At 37.7% G+C, this 25791-nt stretch overlaps 1 non-coding gene across 1 annotated transcript; it reads left to right on the forward strand.

Annotated features, from left to right (window-relative positions):
• The first annotated feature begins 10980 nt into the window (after nt 1-10980).
• LOC124905292 (small nucleolar RNA U3) lies at nt 10981-11200 on the forward strand. Its single transcript, XR_007068450.1, has one exon. It is a non-coding gene; the product is annotated as a small nucleolar RNA U3 (small nucleolar RNA).
• The last annotated feature ends 14591 nt before the right edge of the window (nt 11201-25791 follow it).

Consider the following 25791-nt stretch of genomic DNA (forward strand, 5'->3'; position numbering starts at 1 on the left):
GAGCTGAGATTGTGACGTTGCACTCCAGCCTGGGCAACAAGAGCAAAACTCAGTCTCAAAAAAAAAAAAAAAAAGAAAGAAAGAAAAAGAAAAAGAAAAAAAGAAATAAATAAAACTTGGGTATGTCACAAATTGTAAATTTAAAAGAAAAATTGCAGATTTGTAACAGATACTTGTTACATATATAGCACACAAAGGATTTGGATCAATAAAAAGAAAAAAAAGAATATAAAGAGTTTTCCATAATTTTTAAAAAACAAACAACACAATTTAAAAATATATAAGTGATATGAACCAGTAATTCACAAAGAACTCCACATTTATACAATTACATGTGCTAAAGTAGCAGAAATGTATAGATTAGAAATAGAGGCACCTATCTGGATAAATTTTAAAAGTATAATGTTAGATGACAAAGATCTGTGGGAAATGGATTGTATCTAGGCAGAATATTAAAGCACACAAAACAATAATTTATAGTGCTTATGGTTATAAATATATGTAGTAAATATAAAAACATGCAGGAAAGTTATGCAAATTTCAGCAGAGAAAGGGAGAGTAAAGGGATAGAGGTGTGACTTTAGCTATAGCTGTAATTGTTTGCCAAAAAAAAAATTTAACAAACATGGCAAAATGTTAGCATCTGTTAAATCTATGTTTGGTTCATAGATATTGAGTATATTCGACTTATATACTTTTCTTATGTTTGCAATATATTATAATTAAAATTATATTAAAATTTCAAATTTTAAATGATTGTGAGAAAACATAGGTGAACATTTATTTGCTCATGGGAAAAAAGAAGAGCATTTCAATATAAAAGCAAAAATAAATCACAAAGGTAAAGGCTGATAAATATGACTACATAAAAATGCAAAAAGGACATAAAAACATCAAAAAATTTAGTTACAAGATGGAGCAAATATTTGTAATACGTGTGTATAAATGATAGGCATACATATATCCAGTATTGTTAATGTAAAAAAAAGTACTTTCAAAATCTAAATCTTCATCAAATGTTGAATATTAATAAATGTGAATTCCATAAGGTTAATGAGTATATAGTGAAATCAGAACTTTTGTCAACTGCTAGTGGGATTTTTAAACGGTTGACCTTTTTGGATACCAGTTGATGACATTAAAAAGAGTATTAAAATTGTTCATACTAAAAATAGACATTAACCTGATAAAATGATGATCTCTAAGGAGTGAGATGACAGAAGTGACTTATAGTTTCTATTTTATACCCTTCTCTTTTTTTAGTACCTGGTTTGTATTACTTTTATAATTTAAAATTATAATTACTTTTTCATGTAAATTATTTTAACAAAAAGCAACCCATTTTATCTTTTGGCCCCAAATTCTACTTTTAAGGAAATCATTCCACAGAAATTATTAGACATGCACAAGCGATATACCAGATAATTTTTGTAAATTTTATAATACACATATAAACAACCTAAATATTAAACATTAGGGGAATAATTAAATATATTGTGGTATATAAACATGGTGGAGTAATATAATTATTTTTAAAAATATATTTCAAAAATAATCATGAAAGTGTTTACTATATGATTGTAAGAATAAAAAGGATAGCTCAATGATGCCATGTAGTGCCAAGTTAATGGAAAAAGGCTGTGCAATGTAATCCAAGTTGAGAAGGGGACAAATTGTAATAATAAGGTCATGGTTATGCTGGCAAGGAATCAATTAATGTCTTATGATGATTCAATGAAGGACTTTTAGCGGAAAAGAAATTCTCCTTGTGTGAGATGTACTTTTTTGGTTATTTTTATTTTAGGTTTTCTTCAAGAATATAAAAATATTAAATAGCAGACTGTAATCCAGAGTGGAGAATCACCCTGACATTCTTCTTCCCCCATGCCCACTTCCAATTATAGGACTAGAACTCCCCACTCTTTCTACCAGGAAGAAAAAGCACTTTTACCTGACAATCCATGCTGGAAGCCAATGGTATACAAGGAAGGAGTAGGGAGAGAAAATTGACATTGATGTAGGACTTGCAAATATCTGATTGTGGGATAACAGGCACAGAAAAAAATGGGAAGCAGGGACTTCAGGATAAAGAAAAATAATAAAAGGAAATAAGAACAAATGAACTGAAGAGAAAAGAGGGTAGCATGAAGAGTAGGCATTCTTCTTCACAGAGCTAGTGAAAAAATTCTCATGGGAAAATGAGAAAGTACAGTGAACACACCCTCAATAAATAGATGGGACAAGAGAGAAAAATCAGGGACTCACTAATCAATTTTTAAATGCACTGTCTACCAGCACCACTGTGTATGGTTTGGATTAATTATCAGAGGATTTGAGCAAAAACCGGCTTGAACTTATTTCTGTGATGTTTACTTGTAAGGGTCACAAGATAATAACTGGTATTAGATAGACTAATCCCTCCCATTCCCGCAAGAGGGCAAGGAATGGTCTATGGGGCCTTGGGGAGATACGCCAAAGAGGCAATACTTCACCCAGAAAATTTGCCTTTCATCTCTTCCTCTCTGGAGAATATCTAAAGATATATGGGCCAAAAAAATAAAGAGCCTACCTATACACACACATAAACATACATTTCAAGTTTTTCTATGCAGATCTGTATGCATAGAAAAAAAAGAAATGTCCTAAAATATTATTAATGTTTTCCTGGGATTTAGAATTACAGGTGATTTTTATTTCCTTGTGCAGCACAATATCTTATAAAGTCAGTAAGAATAGTGGATTGACATTCAGACCCAAAGGAAATTAGAATGCCCAGAAGAGAAGGGAAGAAGGAAGAGTTGAGCAGTGAGAATCATAATGCAGAGTTTAAAATCAGAAATACTTAATTTATATTATATTGTAGGACTAGGTTTATTGCAGAAAGTTGAAATGCAGGTTAAAAGCTAGATGAATTTCAGTTGAAGAGAAATAAATAACACTACAATCTTTTACGTTTGAGTTTGTGACGGAAATTTTCTACTTCCCATATTTGTTAAGCTGTGTAGAAATTTCAAATGTATGGCATGTTTGCATTTATTTCTTTGAACCCAATCAAAACAAACATTGAAATAAAGCTGTAAACATGTCAAAGATGCAGATTAATGTATGTTACTTTTTAAAGTTCTGGACTGGTAAAAGTCTGAATTTAAATCTAGAGGCACTATAAAAGAATATGTTCTGTATTAGAAAGCAAAATGTTCAAGTTAGACGCTAATAGAAACTTGCTAAATTTATTTTAAATCAATACACTTCAAAATTGTTGGAAGCTGTTAAAATCTGTAAGTAAGCATTTGGATGATCTTTTACACTAAGAAAAAGTGAAAATTCTTCATTTTAAAAAGAGAGTGACATTTGATAAATACCTTGGTAAAGGTATAAACAAAGTACTATGGGAGCAAATGCAGGGGAGCCATTAGTTCTTTTGAAAGGTTCATAAATCTCTGGCAAGTTGAATCTGCAAACCTAAACATATAAAGTGATGACAGTGAACACTGATATCTCCTTTTCTTTGACAAATCCCCTTAATGGGCATGTGACTTATGTCAAGGTAAAGAGGATAAAATCAGAAATGCTTCCTGCTGCCCTGTAATAGAAGTAGTGTTACTAAGGACAGAAGAATAAACTTTTGCCTGTCATTGTTTAATTCAATCCAGGGATTGCAAACTCAGAGAGCACTTGGGCTGATCTGGCCTACAGACCTATTTATTTTGGCTCATGATTTTCTTTTAAATAAATTTAAATGTCCTTTAAATTATACACTCTCCAGTACATCACTGTACATACCATTTTCTTTTGAAAAATTCGGCTCCACGCAGTTATTAAGAATACAGACTCTAGAAGTCAGAGTGTATGAGTTAAAATTCAGTATCTGTCACCTACTAGCCACATAACCCTGGGAAAATGACAATCTCTCCGCGTAATGGTTTTCTTATCTCTAAAATGAGGATAGTAATGGTAGGGTTTCGGTGAGAGTTAAATGAGTTAAAACCCGTAAAGCACTTAAAATAATGTTAAGCAGACAGTAAGCACTGTGCAAAGGTTTGTTAAATAAATATTGGTTCATCTCCAGCCTAATTATGTCCTGTCCCTGGCCCCTATAAGCATTTGGGCTCATACTTTTGGTTTAATTTTATCTGTAATAAAGCTTTCCTCTTGGTCTTTCATGTAAGCAATGTGTGTGGCCCCTCCATACATGGTATAAAATAAGGGATTCCAAAGAGTTCTATTTTCATATAAATATACCAATGACTGACTCATTACAATCATAAAAATCTTCTGAGCTAATTAAACTCTGGAGATACTAAGGGCACAATACAGAGTCCCTGTCCATAAAGGGATTATTGCCCAGTAAGAGACTGGAATTGTACATGATGAGTAAGTACAGTAGAAGATTACATATGCACATGATAAAAGCTAGGTGACCAAAGTCTGTTGGAGAAAGCCATGATCACAGAGGGATGGAGTGGACTAGGTAGGATCTATAGAGGGTATGGGACTTGAGCTAGTTCTTGAGGGAAGAGTGAGACTTAGATCTGCCTAGGGATTAGATGATGAAAACATTCTGACAAGAGCCATGTGAGCAAATTACAGGGGCAGAATATATCTGAAAGCTTGAGCAATTACGCACAGATTTAATTTGAGTAGAAAGTTGGTTGTGGCAGAAATTATACGAGATGAGGCTGAGCCCATGGATGAAGGCTGCATTATGGAGAGTACTAAATGCCAGATGAAGAGCTGTACATTTTATCTTGAAAGCAGTAGAAAGTCGATGAAGATTTCAGAACTGGGAGAGGTAAGTGGAGAGACAGTAAATGATTTTTGCAAAGAAATATTTAATAAATGAAGATTAATCTGTTCAGTGTAGAGGATGGAAAGGGCCAATGGATAGTAAGGCAATTAAAACACCAGAGAAGAAACATGAAAATTAGCTGGGAGACTATTGCAATACAGTCTGAGATTAAGTTGATCCAAGTCTGAATCAGGGTGGGACCATGAACCTGGAAAGGAAAGGAGGTAAGCCAATTTTTTGCCCAATTACATTGTATACATCTAGCAAAATAAGTTAGCTTATCAAGAATTCTTATCCTCCACAGCTTTATGTGTATTTATCCATACTGAAACACACCAAAACATTCTGTTACCATATCTATTTCTTCTTAATCTAAAAGCTCCTCCAGGTTATGAGAGTTGTCTGATTTCTTTTGTCTCTCTAGAACCTAGCAAAATGCCTGACACATATTAACATTTTTAAAAGTGTAAAACTAGACCAAAAACCAATAAATCTAGGTAACTTTTGATAAATGGAGAAAGAACAGCTGTTGAGCCTACTCTGTATTTGGAATATTAAGAGAATATGACAAAATAAGAAGTTCTGAAAAAGGAGCAGATTCAGGGGGAAAGGAAAAAAAATTCCAGGAGTGAGAGATTTGAATCTTAATCAATCTCTCTCTCTCTGTCTTCCCCTCCCCCTCTCTCTTCCCCTCCCACCCATCTTCCCCTCCCCCTCTCTCTTCCCCTCCCTCTCTCTCTTCCTCTTCCTCTCTGTGATGGATAATACTGAATGTCAACTTGATTGGATTAAAGGATGCAAAGTATTGATCCTGGGTGTGTCTGTGTGGGTGTTGCCAAAGGAGATTAACATTTGAGTCAGTGGGCTGGGGAAGGCAGACCCACCCTTAATCTGGTGGGCACAATCTAATCAGCTGCCAGCGAATATAAAGCAGGCAGAAAAACGTGAAGAGGTGAGACTGGCCTAGTGTCCTAACCTACATCTTTCTCCCGTGCTGGATGCTTCCTGCCCTCAAACATCGGACTCCAAGTTCTTCAGTTTTGAGACTCGGACTGGCTCTCCTTGCTCCTCAAGCTTCGGACAGGCTATTGTGGGACCTTGTTATCGTGTATTAATATATATATACATATATATGTGTATATATATATGTGCATACACACATACACACACACACACGTATATCCTATTAGTTCTGTCCCTCTAGGGAACCCTGACTAATACACTCTCCATCCATCCTTTAACAGGTAAAATCATTATTTTGGAGGGATAACAAAGTTACATATTTTAATAACTTGAACATTTATTATAACTATAAAAAATAGAGCTTCATGGGGCACCGAGACACAAGAGCAATCAGTTTGAGCTTAGAGTATAAAAGGATATAGAGCATCTGGGCAAGGTGGTGTATGAAATGTTGGGGAGTTAGGAAGCCTGAGATGGATTGCTTAAAGAGGGGCATCTAAAAGAGTAACGCATTCATTGGCCAACATAACAATCAGATTAACGTCACGTTAGCATAATCTTTGGGTTTGACCTTCCACTGTCCCTGAAAAGATGAAGTCACATAATATTAATAGAAATGTAGAAGGGAAAATTTCAAATATAGTCATGTTAACTTTGAGTAAACCAGCCTGCTATGGTCCACAGTTGTATTTCTACCTTCATAAGCCCAGGGACACTGCTTATCTTAGGGACTATCTTTTAAACAGTTAAAAAATGCAGAAAACTATCTCTTATCTCTTAGAGATAGATGGATTTCAGTGTTAAAGGAGCTTATAAAATTTGACGATTTCCCAGAGGCAAGGCATGACCTTTATACTGAACTGCTCAAGAGGTATCTGCTCCCTTTCATCCTGAGAGATAACCATGAAATAGTTTGGCTGCAGCCTAATTCTCTGGCAGTAATACAACATATCAATATGGCTCAAATGAGTCATCACCATTAGTGAGGCATGGGCCTTGCACTGGATAGAGCATAGATTAATTCAAGAAACACTTATTGAGAATCAAACAGAAGTACTTGTAGTGGCAATGTTGAATCTGCCCTGATTTAGCCACATATAGCCCAAAGCAACCCAGTTGTGATATTAATGGTCAAGGTTTAGGTATATACTATGGCCAGAAAGTGAAGCAAATAAACTTAACAAAAACTAATAAGGCAGAATAAAGAACTAGAAATTTCATGGGCTTTAGAATAACACCTGGATTTGAGTCCTGGCTTTGACACTCACTAGCTCTGTGAACTTGGAAAAGTTTATTAATTTCTCTGAGCTCCACAACTGCATCTTCATAATGAGGATTATAATAATTTCTACCTCATATACTTGTTATTAGGATTAAATGGTAAACCCTTGATAATCTTATTATATACTTATAAGAATGGTACTTATGAACATCAGGCAAGCAGTTTTGGCCTCATGGACGCCAAGTGCCTTAACCATAAGTGTAAAGCATTGTATCATTACAGATAGATTGGTATGGTAGATAGAATAATGGCCCATTAAAGATGTCCATGTCCTAATCCATATAAATATGTTACCCTACATGGCAAAAGGGATTTTTTTCATATGTGATTAACTTAAAGGTTTTGAGATGGGTAGATTATCCTGCATTATTCAGTTGGGCCCCAAGTGATTACAAGGGTCCTTAGAAAAGGAAGTCAAGGAGGTCAAAAACAGAAAAAGGAGATGTGACTACAAAAACAGAGGTTGAAGTAATGTGCTTTGCAAATGGAGGAAGGGACCATTAGCCAAGGTATGCAGGTGACCTCTAGAAGCATGAAAAGGCAAGGAAGCAGATTCTCTCCCAGACTTTTCAAAAGTAACATAGCATTATGGATGCCTTGAACTCAGACTTCTTTCCTTCAGAACTGTAAGATAATACATTAGCGTTGTTTTAAGCCAATAAGTTTGTGGCAATTTGTTAAGTAGCAATAGAAAACTAATAAATTTCGATTTGGTTAAAAGAATTCTGGCTAGCCATATGTAGAAAGCTGAAACTGGATCCCTTCCTTACACCTTATACAAAACTTAATTCAAGATGGATTAAAGACTTACATGTTAGACCTAAAACCATAAAAACCCTAGAAGAAAACCTAGGCAATACCATTCAGGACATAGGCATGGGCAAGGACTTCATGTCTAAAACACCAAAAGCAATGGCAACAAAAGCCAAAATTGACAAATGGGATCTAATTCAACTAAAGAGCTTCTGCATAGCAAAAGAAACTACCATCAGAGTGAACAGGCAACCTACAAAATGGGAGAAAATTTTTGCAATCTACTCATCTGACAAAGGGCTGATATCCAGAATCTACAATGAACTCAAACAAATTTACAAGAAAAAAACAATCCCATCAACAAGTGGGCGAAGGATATGAACAGACATTTCTCGAAAGAAGACATTTATACAGCAACAGACACATGAAAAGACGCTCATCATCACTGGCCATCAGAGAAATGCAAATCAAAACCACAATGAGATACCATCTCACACCAGTTAGAATGGTGATCATTAAAAAGTCAGGAAACAACAGGTGCTGGAGAGGATGTGGAGAAATAGGAACACTTTTACACTGTTAGTGGGACTGTAAACTAGTTCAACCATTGTGGAAGACAATGTGGCAATTCCTCAAGGATCTAGAAGTAGAAATACCATTTGACCCAGCCATCCCATTACTGGGTATATACCCAAAGGACTATAAATCATGCTGCTATAAAGGCACATGCACACGTATGTTTATTGTGGCACTATTCACAATAGTAAAGACTTGGAACCAACCCAAATGTCCAACAATGATAGACTGGATTAAGAAAATGTGGCACATACACACCACAGAATACTATGCAGCCAGAAAAAAGGATGAGTTCATGTCCTTTGTAGGGACATGGATAAAGCTGGAAACTATCCTTCTCAGCAAACTATTGCAAGAACAAAAAACCAAACACTGCATGTTCTCACTCACAGGTAGGAATTGAACAATGAGAACACTTGGACACAGGAAGGGGAACATCACACACTGGGGCTTGTCATGGGGTGGGGGGAGGGGGAGGGATAGCACCAGGAGATATACCTAATGTAAATGACGAGTTAATGGGTGCAGCACACCAACATGGCACATGTATACATATGTAACAAACCTGCACGTTGTGCACACGTACCCTAGAACTTAAAGTATAATTTAAAAAGAAAATTAAATTTAAAAGAAAAGAATGAATAGGGAATCAAAAAAAAAAAAAAAGAATTCAGCAAGCTGCCAATCTTTCAAAAAATCAGCTTTAGGACTGGTATCATCAAATATCTTCATACCCTGGCACCACAGCAATCATTACCTATAAACTATCAAAAATCCACCTGAATTCCTCTCCCAAATCATGGTGTCACTCCGGAACACAAGCCCTTGATTATTATTGTTGGTAACATTTCTTGGAACATAATCCTAGAATGGATACTATGAATGTAAAGGAAAATTTATATTGGTATTTGTGACCTTCCTCACGGATGATTTTCACTCTGGGGCTACAAGAGACAGCAAGAAATATGTTCATCATTCCCTTTACCCTTTAAGGAAAAATAAACTGCTTCACCCACCTGGGCCTAAAAGGTGGTTCCAATTGAGTGATTGACTGGCACTGTTCTTATGAGCAATAAAAGCCTCCTAGTTCCTGCTCAACAGCATCCAGTTGCATTTGATGCTGAGGGGACATGGGCACCACTCCAACTTTGCAAGTGTGCCGTTTGTACTGCTTTGGTGTGAGGCAGAAAAATAGGAAATCTGAGCTACCATAGAAATATGCTTGGGTAAGTTGCTTGCCATTGTCCCAGGTTCTGTGCATAATTTCAGGAGAAAATGAGACAAATTTGAATGTTCACTTTCACTAGATTAGGAACGTGCTACTTTCAATTTTACAAAACCATTGAAGCATTTTCTCAATACTGAACCAACGCTGACTTATTTTTGAAAAAGACTACCTTACCATGTAATACATTTTAGCTATGCAATGGAGGGTCGGGAATTCCATTTCTCCTTTTGTTATTTTGCATTTTTAAAAATGTAGCATCCAATGTAAAAATCACAATGGACACAGTATTTATATTCTCCTGTCAATGTCAGTATATTCAACTTTTTTAAAAAAGGAAGCAAGCTTCTCTCTGTTGAAAATAAAGCCTTAACCATTAAGTTATCGGGGGAAACTATCAGACGCACATAGAAGACAAAATTTTGTTTATTCCTTACATATTGTTCACAGTAGTTCCAGATGTCTAATAGGCAGAAACATAAAACTTTTACCCATCGCACAAGATCCCTGTACTAACGCCACCATTTTAGGCAAATTACCAACATTAGACATCAAGCTCCTATGCCATAGTTCAGTATAATGGCAGTTGTGCATACATTTATACATTCATCCCTCCATCCATTCAAAAAATATTTGTTGAGCACCTACATTTTACCAGGTGTATGGTGATGGGAATATCGAAGAGAACAAGATGGGTCTTTGCTCTCCTGGAGCTTTAAAGTCTAAAAAATGGTACATAGTAGACATGTGTTACATGTTTGATAAATTTATTTACTGATACGTTTAGTTTCATACATAATTCAAAATTTAACTCTGAGTGTGCCTGTTTTTGTAATCATTTGGTATTTAGAACTAAAGAGGGGAGAAGACACCATGGGGGAGATGAATCACCTATACCTAATTTCTCACACTTGTGCCACTGACAGTTTTATTATATTAATCATTCTATCATGTTACCACTGATGGTAAGAATGATAACCTTAAGATCTTCAGTGATGGTCGCTATATTCTTATTAGGGCAGGAAAGTGGACTCAGACACCTTTAATAAGAGTTGGGAAGGACTTCTATGTAGCCTTAAAGAAATCCAGTTATTTCAGTGTCAGTAAAGAGTAGTGGTTTCCAAAGAACTCGGGATATAAAATCAGATAACCTGGATTTGGATCTCAGCTCTTTCACGTGGATTTGGGTACCCATCTAATATTTAATATTTAATATGGGAATAATAATATTGGCCTGGAAGGGTTTTGAGGATTAAATGAGACAATGCAGGTGAATTGCTTGCCATTCAACACAAAGCTCTCAGTAAAAGTAGTAATAGTAATAGTTGTTGTTGTCATTGTTTGTTGTTACTACATTGATTTCTTACAGCTTCAGTTAACTAATAATTTACTAAGGCTATACTTTCAGGGATCATTTTTATAGCTTATTACTAGAGGAGTTAATGTGAATGTGTAGAGCACCAGAAACCTTGAGGAGGAGGTGCAGCGTTCTCTCCTGAGCATAAAGCTGGCCCGCAGTATTGTGTTGCCTCACTGCAACTGCCATTTGCCATTGATGATGATTGTTCTCTTTCACTGAGAGAGTAAGAGGACAGGATGCATTCTAACTGGCTCCTGTTTATGTTATTAAAAGTAAAAAATAAAAATAAAAATAAAAAATAAAAGAAAAAGAAAGGAATTTAGTGCATCCTGGCCACCCAAACCCCATAGGCTTTCAAATGTAATTGCAGGAGAAAATGTGACTTTGCTTCTCTTCTTGATCCATACATCCCCTCTGTCTAGTTCTAAGCTGCACCAAAGTCTCTCTCTCCTCTCTCTCTCTCTCTCTCTCTCTCTCTCTCTCTCTCTCTCTCACACACACACACACACACACACACACACACACACACAGAGGAATTAAGCCAGAGATGGTATGTCAGTTGTGATGGATTGATAGTTCCTGCCTGGGATAATTTGATGAGAGGAATCCTGAGGATTCCATTGGAAATCAAAATATAAAAGTAGCATGATTGATTATTAATGTCAGTTGAGGATTTGGATAAGTAAGTGATAGCATACATACTGTACTGTCAAGAAAGGATAGGTCATTAACACTTCAGTATAATTTTTTTTTTATTTTTGTAATACACACATGCCTTTTAAATATTAATGCTTATTATGGAATAAATTCTTGGCTCCCTATTAAATAAATTTCTGGCATTAGGAAGCAAGTAAGAAAGATTTTGTTGTGAGGGCTGCATTGCCTTTCTGAAATTATATGACATAATGATCTGTTCTCTTGCATAACTTGGGCCTTAATTTAGTGATTCCACAATTTTATTTGCTATAAATAAAAAAGTAAGAAAACATACTTCCCTTAACAAAAGTTCCATGATGATCTCTCAAAGAGGTAACATTGTATATTCATACAATTGATTGCTAATCAGCAATTTAAAATGAAAGAATTGGCTGGGCGCAGTGGCTCATACCTGTTATCCCAGCACTTTGGGAGGCCAAGGTGGGCGGATCACAAGGTCAGGTGATCGAGACTATCCTGGCCAACATGGTGAAACCCCGTGTCTACTAAAAAAAAAAAAAAAAAAAAAAAAAAAGACAAAAATTATCTGGGCATGGTGGCGCGTGCCTGTAATCCCAGCTACTCTGGGGGCTGAGGCAGGAGAATTGCTTGAACCAGGGAGTCCAAGGTTGCAGTGAGCCTAGATGTGCCACTGCACTCCAGCCTGGTGACAGAGCGAGACTGTCTCAAAAAAAAAAAAATTACTGATATTTAGGTTGGTGCAAAAGTAAGTAATTGCAGTTTTTGCCAAAGTAATGGCAAAAACCACAATAATCAGCTTTGCACCAACTTAATACATGTAACGATGTGAATAAATTTCAGATATTTTGCTGAGAAAAAAGGCCAGACACAAAAAGGGACATATTATATGATTCTATTTATGTATATGAACTTCTAAAACATGCAGAACTGCTCTATGCAGCAGTTCTCAGACTCAGTTGTGCAACAGGATCACCTGGAGAGCTTGTTAAAACACAATTTTCCGGGCCCTGCTCCCAGTTTCCAACTCAGTTGGTCTGGGGTGGGGGCTGAGAATTTTTTTAATATGTCTGTCTTTTCTTTCTAGTTTTACATTATTTAACACCATTTAACATCTCGTAGTCCAAGTTCCCTTTATTATTTTTCTAAGTTTTCTTGGTTATTATTGGGCTAGATGATATCTTTATATATATATATATATATATATACTTTAAGTTCTAGGGTACATGTGCACAATGTGCAGGTTTGTTACATAGGTATACATGTGCCATGTTGGTTTGCTGCACCCATTAACTCGTCATTTACATTAGGTATTTCTCCTAATGCTATCCCTCCCCCAACCCCCCACCCCACGATAGGCCCCCGTGTGTGATGTTCCCTGCCCTGTGTCCAAGTGTTCACAACAAACTGTCTCTCAGACCACAGTGCAATCAATTAGAATTCAGGATTAAGAAACTCACTCAAAACCACACAACTACATGGAAACTGAACAACCTGCTCCTGAATCACTACTGGGTAAATAACAAAGAGAATTTGTGTTTCTAATAAGTTTCCAGATAATGCTGATGCTATTGGTTCGGAGTCTACAATTTGAGAGCCACTGATAGATGGTGATATAAGTCAGAACAGTGATTATCTGTTTGTTTGTGTGTGTGTGTGTGTGTGTGTGTGTGTGTGTGTGTTTGTGTGTGTGGAGGGCAGGCAGTATTGATGGGGAAGGAGTGCGAAGGAACTTGCTGGGATGTTGTAAATTTTCTATATTTTGACCTGGGTGGTAATCATGTAGCCACATATATAAGTAAAATGTTATACAGCTATACCCTTCAGATTTGTGCCTTTTACTTCATGTAAACCGTACCTTTAATTAGAGGAAAGAACTGAACTTTGGAATCAAACAAATTAAGTTTAAATTCCCATTTCTGCTACTTATCAATTCTGTGGTGTTTGGTAAGTTACTTCACTTACATAAGCCCTGCTATTTTCATGTATAAAACAAGTTTATAATAGAACTACATCATAAGGTGATGGTGAGAATTCAGTAAGATCATCCTTATATCATCCTTATACCATACTTGGCACAGAGTAAATACTTTGTAAGTATTTGCTATTATTTTAAGATGCAATTCTAATTTATAGGGATCAAGTAATTTTTCTCTCCTCCCCAACCTCACGCTCCTATTTCTCCTCTCCATTTGCACTGACATTCTTCATCTTAGAAAAACCCTCATTCCTCATTTTTTAATACCACCTTGACTAGTAGAGCTTCTACTGAAACAGAGCTATTTCTTTTTCCATAATAATGCCAGCAGGCCCTGGCCTGGTACCACCTGCCTTCCTGATCAGCAAATAAGCAGCTCTATCAATCAAGACAGCTGTTTCTTGCTGCTCATCATGGGTACGTAATGTTTCCTGAATGTTACTGAGAGTCTCTGGACTAGGTAAACTACCCATGAAATACAACTCAACTTAGGTAAATAAGTTATAAATATGACTCAATGAAGACACCTCTCTGAGGAAATAATCCTGGCAATGGTTGGCTCCAAGGACACAAACCGAAGGTAAATATGTCCAGGTCACAGATTCAAGCTCTTTATCCCTGATTGCAGTTCTGCTGCAACTTACGGCCTCCATATTTTTTTGCTTTTAGGCTCTTTGAATACAGCTACTTCTCAAAATCTACTCTACTGGGGGCATTTTCCTAATTATCTTATTACTGCCCCCTCTTATTTCATGATATCGGGTAAGGCAGCATTTAGTTTGATTTAAGGCATGCTGTCTGAGCCCTTTCTCTGGGCCAAGCACTGTGCCACCTGATGCAGATACAAAACCAAAGTATACCTGTTCCCTATCCTTGAGCATTCTGTGAATGGGGGTAAGAAAGCCATGTAAGTAGATGATGACAGATAAAGCAAGGTGTATCAAGATAATCCTGAAGAGGAGTATCTAGATCTATATTGGAAGGCAAGGCCTATGGGAGGGGTGCTAAGAAATGTTTCTTGGAAGAATTCACCTTTAAAAATTTTTAGAACAAGAAGTAGGCTAAAGGCAAGAGCTCCTTTCAGCATAAAGGAAGAAGAGACAGGATGTTGTCTGGGTGTTTGGATGGGGAAATAAAATTTAAGGATGAGATTTTATGTGTAGGCAGGTATGAAATATCCCAGAGATGATCAAGGAATGATGGGCTTGGTTGGGCCTAAAATAAGCATGGATAACCATTTTGCCAAGGGTCAGAGCTTATCCGAAGTATAGTTGTATCAAGAAACTTTTCTGCCATACCTTTTGGTGTGCATATACCCTGCATGAATAAACCCCCAAATTAACCTTTCTGGGCCTGAGGATAAAGGCCCCGAGAGCATAGATGCTACTATTGAACTGGAAAGGACTTTGAACACATCCCCATGACACATAGCTCAGAAAGCTACAGACACCTAATGAGTCCTGGTCTGCTCTTCCCCACCTCTCCACCCAACTTACGAAAAAAACCATTTATAAATTGGGAGGTTAAAGAGCCAAGAATAGGTGCAATAAAATATGTTGCTTTTGAAGATTGATTTTGTGCTTATTAGTGGGGAAAAGCAGCCTCACTTTTATTGCAAAGCCCTGCAATTGATTAGACAGAGTGAAGACTCAACATTTTTTTCCAGTGTTTATATTAAAATGAATAAGGCATTTTGTTTTTCACAAGATTATTATGCAATGGCACAGCACATTTTTTCCATCCCCCTGTTTTATAAAGTGTTTCCTGTAGGCGGACCTGTTATGTAACTGTAACCCTGGCCCTTTATAATCGATCATGTCTCAGAGGTACTAACTCAATGTCCTCCAAGAAAGCACGTGAAATGCCATCTCTAAAAACTTGGGCCAGTACTCAGGATTCTATTAGGAGTCCCATTATTTATTCTCTGGCCATGATAATGATACCTTTGAAAAGTGGTAGCTGGGAAGAACAAACATTTTCCCCTTTCCCTTCATGTTTAGAGATAAAAGGTCTCACCCAAATTTCACCCATATGTTATATGGAGGGTAGATGATAACCTACAGTGAAAAGCACAAACAAAAACATCAAGAACTGAAATTGTTGTATACGTACGTGTGTGTGTGTGTGCATGCGTGTGTGTGTATTTAGAGAGAGAAAGAAGGAGAAAGTAAATCCTATATGAAAGCCCCCTGAATCCTTTATCTACATCACAAGGCAAAATAAATCCTTTACTCAAAAGATACGTTTTGCTTCAAAGGAAAGTAATATTCTGCCATATATGTTACCAAAATAGCAATGTGATCTTGAACAAGTTAATTCAGTTTTCTGAGCTTCAGTTTCCTCAAACTTTTGAGATACTCTCAAAAGAGTAAATAGAGAGTATCAAAGGACTTCCGGTTGTGATGTTTTGTGTAACCTTAGATTGGAATTCCTCCATATTAATGAGAGATGAGGCTGAGGCAGAAAATGCTACAATGGCTCTCCTGGCCTAGTCTGCAGATTTCACTGCAGTACAGGCTAATAGACCTACTTCAGTTACCATGGTTGGGTTCAGGGCTGCTGCACTGCCTAAGCTCTACTATGAGAAGTAACATATATGCAGGGCTCCGGGTAGGTTTATAGGCTTTGTTTTATTCTTTAGCCACAAGCCGTTACGGTACCCTTGTCAACTTTTCCACTAAGCATATTCTTGGCTGCAGGAAGAACCAGGTGAAAAGGAGGGCTCTAGGTTCAACTCCAAGTATGGATCATGATTCCCTGAGCCTACAATGAACATCTCCTAAATGCTTCCTGTAGCATTCAATCTCTTTAGCACTCTATAGTACATACCTTTGTATTGCTTTTTTTTTTTTTTTTTTTTTTTTGAGACAGAATCTCGCTCTGTCACCCAGGCTGGAGTGCAGATTGCGCAGTGGCGCAATCTCAGCTCACTGCAACCTCTGCCTCCCAGGTTCAAGAGATTCTCCTGCCTAAGCTTCCCGAGTAGCTGGGACTACAGGCGCCTGCCACCACACCCAGCTAATTTTTGTATTTTTAGTAGAGACGGGGTTTCACCATATTGGCCAGGATGATCTCAATCTCTTGACCTCATGATCCGCCCACCTCAGCCTCCCAAAGGGCTGGGATTACAGGCGTGAGCCACTGTGCCCAGCCTGTATTGCATTTTTCATGTGTATTTCTGTGTGTGTGTGTGTGTGTGTGTGTGTGTGTGTGTGTGTGTGAGAGTGAGAGAGAGAGAGAGAGAGAGAGAGAGAGAGAGCGCGCGAGAGAGCATGCATCTGCCCAAGCAGTCTCTCAACTTCTTAGAATATAGACTGGTGTAGTCTACCACTTTCATCTGAGTGACAATATGAAATACTTCTTAAGCATACTGACTCTGAAGCCATGCCCTCTGGCTTCAAATACCAGCTCCACCAGTTACAAGATGTATGGGATTTAATGTGATATTGAACTTCTCTGAGATTTGTTTTCTGATCCACAAAGTGTGAGTGAAAATAGTTTCTAACTCATAAGGATCTTGTGAGGATTATATAGGTATAATGTGAAGATAAATATACATGAAGATTTATTAGTAAATAACTTAAAATATTGCCTGGTACATAAGTATTTAATGAATGTTAGCTACTATTACTATCTTAATATCTGAAAATTGAGAAAATTCAAAGCACATGTGGGCTAGAAATGATTAAGCCAATCTATTACTTACATTTGTTTTATTATTTTATGATTTACTTAAAAGCTTGCAATAGTAAAACATTTTCATCTAAATAATTGCAAATAATGCAGACATCTAGAAATTGAATAGGTAATGTGACCCTTCAAAACTCCCCCCACTACCAACACTCATATCCTTCCAGATTTTTTTTTAATGCAAATGTAAGTATATACCATTTGGGTATTAAAATTGATATCATGTACTCTGCTGTAACTTGATTTTATATCTCAACAATGAATCACAGGAATACTTCCATGTCTCTGCACCTAATACACTTCATTTTTAAATGGCTGCATAATATTTTATTACATGAATGTGCTTTAATGCTTAACCATTCTACAGTCTATTACAACTAACTATGCAATAATCAGCTTTTGTATGTCTCCAAATGCACATAAGGGTATGTTTCTGGCACATATACACAGAAGTGGAAGTGCTGAGCTGATGCAAAGGTCTGTTTTAATATTTTATAGAAGCTGTCAAACTATCTTCCAAAGAGTTGTGCCTATTTATGTTCCTAAAAGCAGTGTATATAAGTGCATTTTCTCCACATCTTCTCCAACATTTATAAGTACTTATTTTTTCTCCGTTTGAATAGCTAAAATGGTATTGTGGTATTGTAGTCTTGGCTGGGAATGGGAACTTTTCCCCAACTGCTAGTGACAATTCACATTGAAAATCTCACCCAACTAAGCAGCCACTTTCTTGGTGCACAAGAATGGTTCTGTAGGAGCATACTGAAGGGACTTTTGCCATATTTGATAGTGATTAGAGCGCCAGTACCAACTGCATTTGATGCTGCCATCATGTTTTGGTGTCCATCCTATTCTTCCAGGCACTGCAGAAAGTTGCTATCTGAGACACTGTGCACAAGCCATTTGTAGAGACTGTATCATCTGTGCTTACAGAATTGCATCATGTTTTTGGTGCTGTTATATCTTCATTAGGATCAATATTTCATAAGTTGTGGCTCCTGTCCCTCTAGAACTTGTACCCCAATGTAGCCTCTTCCATCGAGGAGAAGGAATGGAACTAGGATTTTCCAAAATCTATGTTCCAGGAACTGTATTATGCACTTTACATATGTTATCATACTAAAGCTTCACAATAACTCTGAAGCAGAGTTATATACTGTTATCATCATTATGTTATAGATGAGAGAACTGAAACTGAGAAATTAAGCAACTTGCCCAAGACCACACAGGTAGTAAGTGGAAGAGCCCAGACTGCAAAGTAGGGTTGTCGCTTTCCAAAGCCCGTGCTCTTTCTGTTGCACCATATTTTCTCAATTTTCTGGAAGCATTCATATTTTTCCATTACCAGAGTTCTTATTGAAGAACACCTTGATGAAATCTTTTGTAAAATGAATTCATTAACCAATTAATTCCCACTGTGAGCAAAGTGTTGTTTTGTGTTTCTGAAGTTAGAAAAACATTCTGAAAGCAAGCACTTTCTTTTTTCACTACAAAGTCTTAGATTTATTTAGAGAACTTTCTATGGACTTTGTTTAGACTGCTGAGCATTCGACTATGGCTCCTTGTATCACCATTCAGAATTCAAGTAGCAGTGTATTTGGGGTGAGAGGGAATAATCAATGCTAAAAAAGCAACACCAACTGGCTTTTCAGAAATTCTGTCCCCATCAAGATAGATGTGCTCTGAGTCAGGCTGTCAATTAAAGAGAGGTAAAGCCAGTTTTTGACCCTCTTGCCTGCCTCTGCCTCTCCCCAAAAGTTAGAGGTACTATCTCCCTCAGTTACCCAAAACCCAAGCATTAACTTTACCTTCCATCTCTGCCATCCCATCATCCCCTAAATAGGGCCCCTCACTCTTCTAGCCCATGTTTCAGATTTAAGCTCAGAGTAAAATTAAGTAAACCGGGGCTTCCTCAGATTCCACCTTAGTAGATAACTACAGCTGAGGAACCAATGACGTCTAAAACCTTTCTCAAAGGGCACTGGCACTTTAACAATAAACTTCTAAAAATACCATGCCCTAGAAATTTGTCTAACCTACCTTAGTTTCCCACATTGTAATTAAGCACGGATACAAAAACAAAGAGACACAGATTGGAGAAAGTACAAATTTATCTCATCTCCTCCTGTACACGATGCACACGTATCCATAGAGGGCTGCTCTGTTCCACCCACACTCAACACCTAGAACAGCCTTTTTATCCTGACAGACAAATTAATAGTAATTTGTCATTTGTATGACAAATTGCTATTAATATATTTCTAACACAAAAGTATCCAATTTCCCCAGTATTGTACCTTGGGTGTCATTAAGGTCTTTCAATGGTCATATTTCAAAGCTGAATCTTACACTCTTGACCTATCAAGACTGTGTCATTGAACCTGGACCATCCCATTTCATGGAACTTTGGAAAGAAAAAAAGTACATTAGTAACTATGCAGGCACATTGGCCCACATTATTTGTTTCTATGGAAAATTACATATCTTTTTCAAACTATGTATGAATCCACTTTTAAAGTCTAACAGAGATAGAAATGCTAAAAGTTGACTTGGCTGAATATTGTAGCAATTCACAAATAACACGACCTAGGTAGTTATCTACCACACCCAAGGATGAGGTCAGCCCTCATTGAATTAACCTGACTTGAAGGTGGTAGTATAGGGTAGTGGCTAAGAATGTAGTCTCCGAAGCCAGTCACACTTAGATTTGAATCATGGCTCTGCCAGTTACTATCTATGTGATCTCAAGTAGGTCATGTAGCTCAGTTTTCTCACTTATAAAATGGGAACAATAATAGTGTTTACCTCATAGGGTTACTTGTGAAGATTAAATTAAACAAGTAAAAAATATATTTAAAATGCCTGAAATGGAGTAAGCTCTCAATAATCACTGGCTACTGATAACAACAACTTAAATTATAAACATGCATATTTTCTTACATACTACAAGTTATGGGCTGGGGATCCAAAGTTCTATAAGCCACAGACCTAATCTGGAGCAGTTAATCATCTATCTACCTCCACCTCAGATGGCTAAAACCATCTGAAACTTGCTGCTGAGAAGACCTGCTAAATATAAGTCCCCATCTATGGAAGCTTTTGTTGTGTTTTACCAACGCTACCCACAATAACAAACTGGCTTTCTGCCTTCAGATTATAAATGGTACAGCCTAGCAAGCCAGACTGGAGAAAAAAGTCTCTTGCTAAGAATCACCTCTAATGGAGCTGTTACTCCCTTTGACCTTTACCTAGTATTTGCTAAAGAGAATCCCCAGAAAGCAAAAAGGTGTTCAAAAGCCTCTCTAGTTTTCTAAGATAAGGAAGCTGCCACCATCCTCAGGCTGAGAGTTATGCGGCTGCTGTTTTGAGAGCCCCCAACTAAACTGGGGTCCCAGTAGCAAAGGAGCTGGCCACTCTGCCCTAGTGGAAAATGAAAGGGAGTTGGACATGGGTGTTTACAGTGTGCCTTTCATGGTATACTTCTTTTACTTGGTAGACAGCCTACTACCTACTTGTTCCACCTGTGACTAGGAGGTACCTCACATGCAAAACTTCATGCTGGCAGATTCCCTCCTGGGTCTTGTCTGACCTGTTTTTAGTTTACGCCTGCCTGACCAGTGTTCCTCTAGTTTTTGAAAACCAACTTTGTGTCCCAGAGAAAACCCAGCCTGGGGTAGCCTCTAGTTCTTCAAACGGAAGGTGCACATTCAATCCACCACCACAGCAGGAAATAAGTTACTTGCCTGGGCAGTGAAGCCATAATGAGTCAGAAGAGCAGTACTGTCTCCCCAAATCACACAAGGCAAGAAGAAAGAGTCAGGCAGAGGGAGAGAAGATAAGGGAATAGGGTGCGGGTCGCTTTAAATTCATGGGCAAATGCCTTAATAGTGTGTTTAAAGGAAGCAGTGGGAAAGTCAGGAGCCCAGTTTGCTAGACAGGAGAAATATATCTAAGTTCTTATCTCTGGCCACCTACTGGAGCAATTTGAGTGTGGTGTAGAACTGGAAACTGTGGCAAGGGTGACTAAGCCCTGCTTCTTATAGCAGAGAGTTAAACCTGCATTCAAAATGGATGCCAAGGCAATATTAAATTATAAGAATTCACTACAGCTGCCTAGTGGTCATTAACTGTTTTTCCCCAGTTTACATGAGAACCACTCTTGTGACAGGAGTAGTCACCTATGGACACTTACCACTTTCTCTCAGAAATAAAACTGCAATACATCAGAGTTGAAAAGATCTTTACAGGCTGAGCATGAGGTTATTGAACTAGAGCCTACTTGAGAAATTAGGGAACAGAAGCCCAAAGATGAAAGGTGACTTTGCCCAGTGAATACCTGGCAAAATTCGGCCTAGAACTCTATCTCCTGGTTCACAGTCTAGTCCTTGAGGAGTTTAGCTCCAGACCAAAATTCTGTGTTGCTCTTTCATGCCTGACCATAGGCAATTGCAAAACTTTGCTTGCAAGCCTCATGGAGAGAGGCTGCCCTCCCCACAGCCAGTGCTTTGCAATTTTCTGTGGGGAGTAACAGTCAAGGCTCAGGCTGACCCCTTCAAGCCTGCCATGCTCACATATATCTGCATGCCCAGCTAAAGCATCTCTATTTGGAGACCTCCTTATTGGGGGTTTCAATTGAGGCACTTACAGGCATCTCTGCCTAGGTCTTCTTATTAGGGGTCTTGGCTGAAACACTTTTCTCTGCTTTGACTGAGTTCCTTTGCACTCCTAGCCCTTCCCGCTCTCCTTATCTCCAGCTCACAGGTCTATAAACAGGAAGGAACCATTAGTTTGTTTTGCAGGGAGAACTACCCTCATCTGTACTGCATCCATCTGACCTTTGCCGGGAGCCATTCCCAGGGAGAAATGGAACACTAGGGAGTTGGCATCATTTTTGCCTCTTGCTTGCACTTTTACAGTAAGTAAATAAAAACTTGATTGTTATTTTCACTGTGGCTTATTGTTTTAATTGACCACCTGGAAAGGTGGCGGCTTGAGTCCACTTTCTAATCTACTATTCTGATCTCCTGCCTCAGGATACCAGGAGTGGAACATAAGGATCAGCAAGATGGTAAAAGGCTCCACTGATTGTCCCCCATGCAAGGACACCAAATTAAGAACTATCTACACCGAAAAAGCACTTCATAGGAACCAAAATTCAGGCGAGTACTCACAGTACCTGGTTTTATCTTCATATTGCTGAAAGAAGCTCTGAAGAGGTATGAAAATCAGTCTTGAATCACAGACACCACCTTTCCTTCCTTTCCCAGGTAGTGGCTACGTGATGCAGAGAGAGAATCGATACACTTGGGAAAGGGAGTATTCATTGAATTCTGCGTGGAATTCAGTGCTATGCTGTTGTAGTGGAAAGCAAAACCAGAACAAACTCAGCTGCTACCTGCCCACGGAGGGAGTATTTAAACCAACTCAAGCCAGAAAGGAATCACCTGTCCCAGTGGTCAGCACTTGAGTTCTGGCAAGCTTCACTACCGAAGGCTGGAGTGCTCTGGGCTCTAGATAATACTTGATTGGTAGAGTGCTGAACTGGGCTCAGAGTCAGTGGACTAAGCAGGGGAACACGACCTACTGAGACACCAGCTGGGGCCACTAAGGGAGTGCTGGCATCACCCCTCCACTAACCTCACGCTGCACAGTTCATGGCTCAAAAAGGGACCCCATCCTTCCACTTGAGGAGAGAGAAGACTGAGGAGGACTTTGTCTTACATCTTAGATACCACCTCAAGCACAGCAAGACAGGGCAACAGTCAGAGTGGTGAGGCCCATTTTTCAGGCCCTAGCTCCCAGATGACATTTCTAGACATACTCTGGGCCAGAAGGGCCCCGCTGCCTGTAATGAAAGGACCCAGTTTTGGCAGGATCACATGTGAACTGAAGAGCCCTTGGTCTCCAAATAACCAGCAGCAATACCCAAGCACTACAGTGAGGGTCTTGGGTGAGCCTCTGAGTGTTGCTGGCTTCAGGTGAGACTCGGCACATTCCCAGCTGTGATGGCTATGGGGTAAAACACCTTCTGCTTCATAGTTGAAGAAATATTGAATTAAGAGAAATAGTCTTCAAAATATGACTCTACATGGAAAAAAACTATTACTCTACACACACACAATTTATATACCTTGAAATATCCAAATAGGTTGGATAGTTTCCCAACCTGCTTTTATTTTATTTTATTTTTTATTTTTTTTGAGACAGAGTCTCTCTCTGTCACCCAGGCTGGAGTGCAGAATTATGTGGAGACCTTTTAAAATGCATATTATTGGGTTCCAATTATTATATTTAGAAAAACCTAAAGACTCCAACAACAACAACAAAACTATTAGAACTCATCAACAAATTCAATAAAGTTGCATGGTACAAAATCAACATACAAAAATCAGTGGTATTTTTATATGCCAACAGTAAACATCTGAAAAAGAAATCAAGAAAGTAATCCCTTTTACACTAGCAACAAATACAATACCTAGGAATTAACCAAACAAGTGAAAGACCTCTACCAGGAAAACTGTAAAACACTGATGCAAGAGATCGAAGAGGAAAAACATGGAAAGATATTTCATGCTCATGGATTGGAAGAATCAATATTGTTAAAATCTCCATACTACCCAATGCAATCTACAGAGTTAATCCGATCTTTATCAAACTACCAATGAAATTCTCCACAGAAAGAAAAAAAAAAAGTCCTAAAATTTATATGGAACCACAAAAGACCCAGAATAGCCAAAGTTATCCTAAGCAAAAAACAACAAAATTGGAGGAATCACATTACCTGATTTCAAATTACACTAAAAAGCTATAGTAACCAAAACAGCATGATTCTGGCATAAAAACAGATACATAGACCAGTGGAACAGAATAGAGAACCTAGAAACAAATCCATACATCTACTGTGAACTCATTTTCATCAAAGGCCCTAGAAAATACATTGGGGAAATAACAGTCTCTTCAATCAACGGTGCTGGGAAAACTGGATATCCATATGCAGAAGAATAAAACTAGACTGGTATCTCTCGCCATATTAAAAATCAAATAAAAATAGATTAAAGACAAATCTAAGACCTCAAAATATGAGACTACTACAAAAAAATTGGGGAAACTCTGCAAGACATTGGTCTGGGCAAAGACTTGTTGAGCAATACCCCAGAGGCAAGGAGAAAGGTGATCTTTGTACATTCTTGGTGGGAATGTAAATTAGTACAATCACTGTAGAGAACAGTTTGGAGGTTTCTGAAAAAAACTAGAAATTGAGCTACTATATGATTCAGCAATCCCATTCCTAGGCATATACCCAAAATAAATGAAATCAGTATATCAAAGGGATATCTGCACTCCCATGTTTGTTGCAGCACTGTTTACAATAGCCAAGATTTGGAAGCAACCTAAATGTTCATCAACAGGTGAATGGATTAAAAAATATGGTACATATACATAATGGAGTACTATTCAGCCATAAAAAAGAAAGAGATCCTGTCATTTGAAACAATATGAATGAAACTGAAGGTCAGTATTTTAAGTGAAATAAGCTAGGCACAGAAAGACAAATATCACATGCTCTTACGTATCTGTGGGAGCTAAAAATTAAAGCAATTAAACTCATGGAGTATAAAGTTTACCAGAGGCTGGGAGGGCTAGTAAGGGGTAACGGGTGTGGGGGAAGTGGGGTGGTTAACAGGTACAAATTAATAGTTAGAAAGAATAAAAAGACCTAGTATTTGCTAGCACAACAGGGTGACTATAGTCAAAATAATATAATTACCCATTTTAAAATTACTAAAATACAATTGGATTTTTTGAATCAAAAAGGATAAATGCTTGAGGTGATGGACACCCTATTTACTCTGATGTGATTAGTATGCATTGTATGCCTGTATCAAAATGTCTCACGTAACCCATAAATATATATGCCTACTATGTACTCACAAAATTTCTAAAAAATTTTTAAAAAGAATACTAACAGTTATTTAGAAGGAAGACTATCTTGTCACATTTAAAAGTAACTTCATGCAGTATAGAATCTCTAAATTAAATATATCCTTATGAATTTTTAATCCAAAGATTCTTTATTTTTGTGGTTTTCAAGATTTAGGTAGCATAAGAATTATGTGGAGACCTTTTAAATGGATATTACTGGGTTTTAAAGCCAGACATTTTGATTTAGTAGATTTAGAATAGGGATAATGAATCTGCATTTTAAACAAGGTTCATAGTTGAAATACTGAATTAAGAGAAATAGTCTTCAAACTACGACTCTACATGGAAAAAACCTATTACTCTGTACACACACACACACAATTTATATATCTTGAAATAGCTAAATAGGTTGGATAGGTTCCCAACCAGCTTTTATTTTACTTTATTTTATTATTATTATTTTTTGAGATAGAGTCTCTCTCTCTGTCACCCAGGCTGGAGTGCAGTGGTACGATCTCAGCTCACTGCAACCTCCACCTTCTGGATTCAAGCTATTCTCCTGCCTCCGCCTCCCGAG

Source organism: Homo sapiens, chromosome X (assembly GCF_000001405.40).
Source record: "Homo sapiens chromosome X, GRCh38.p14 Primary Assembly".
Lineage (NCBI taxonomy): Eukaryota > Metazoa > Chordata > Mammalia > Primates > Hominidae > Homo > Homo sapiens.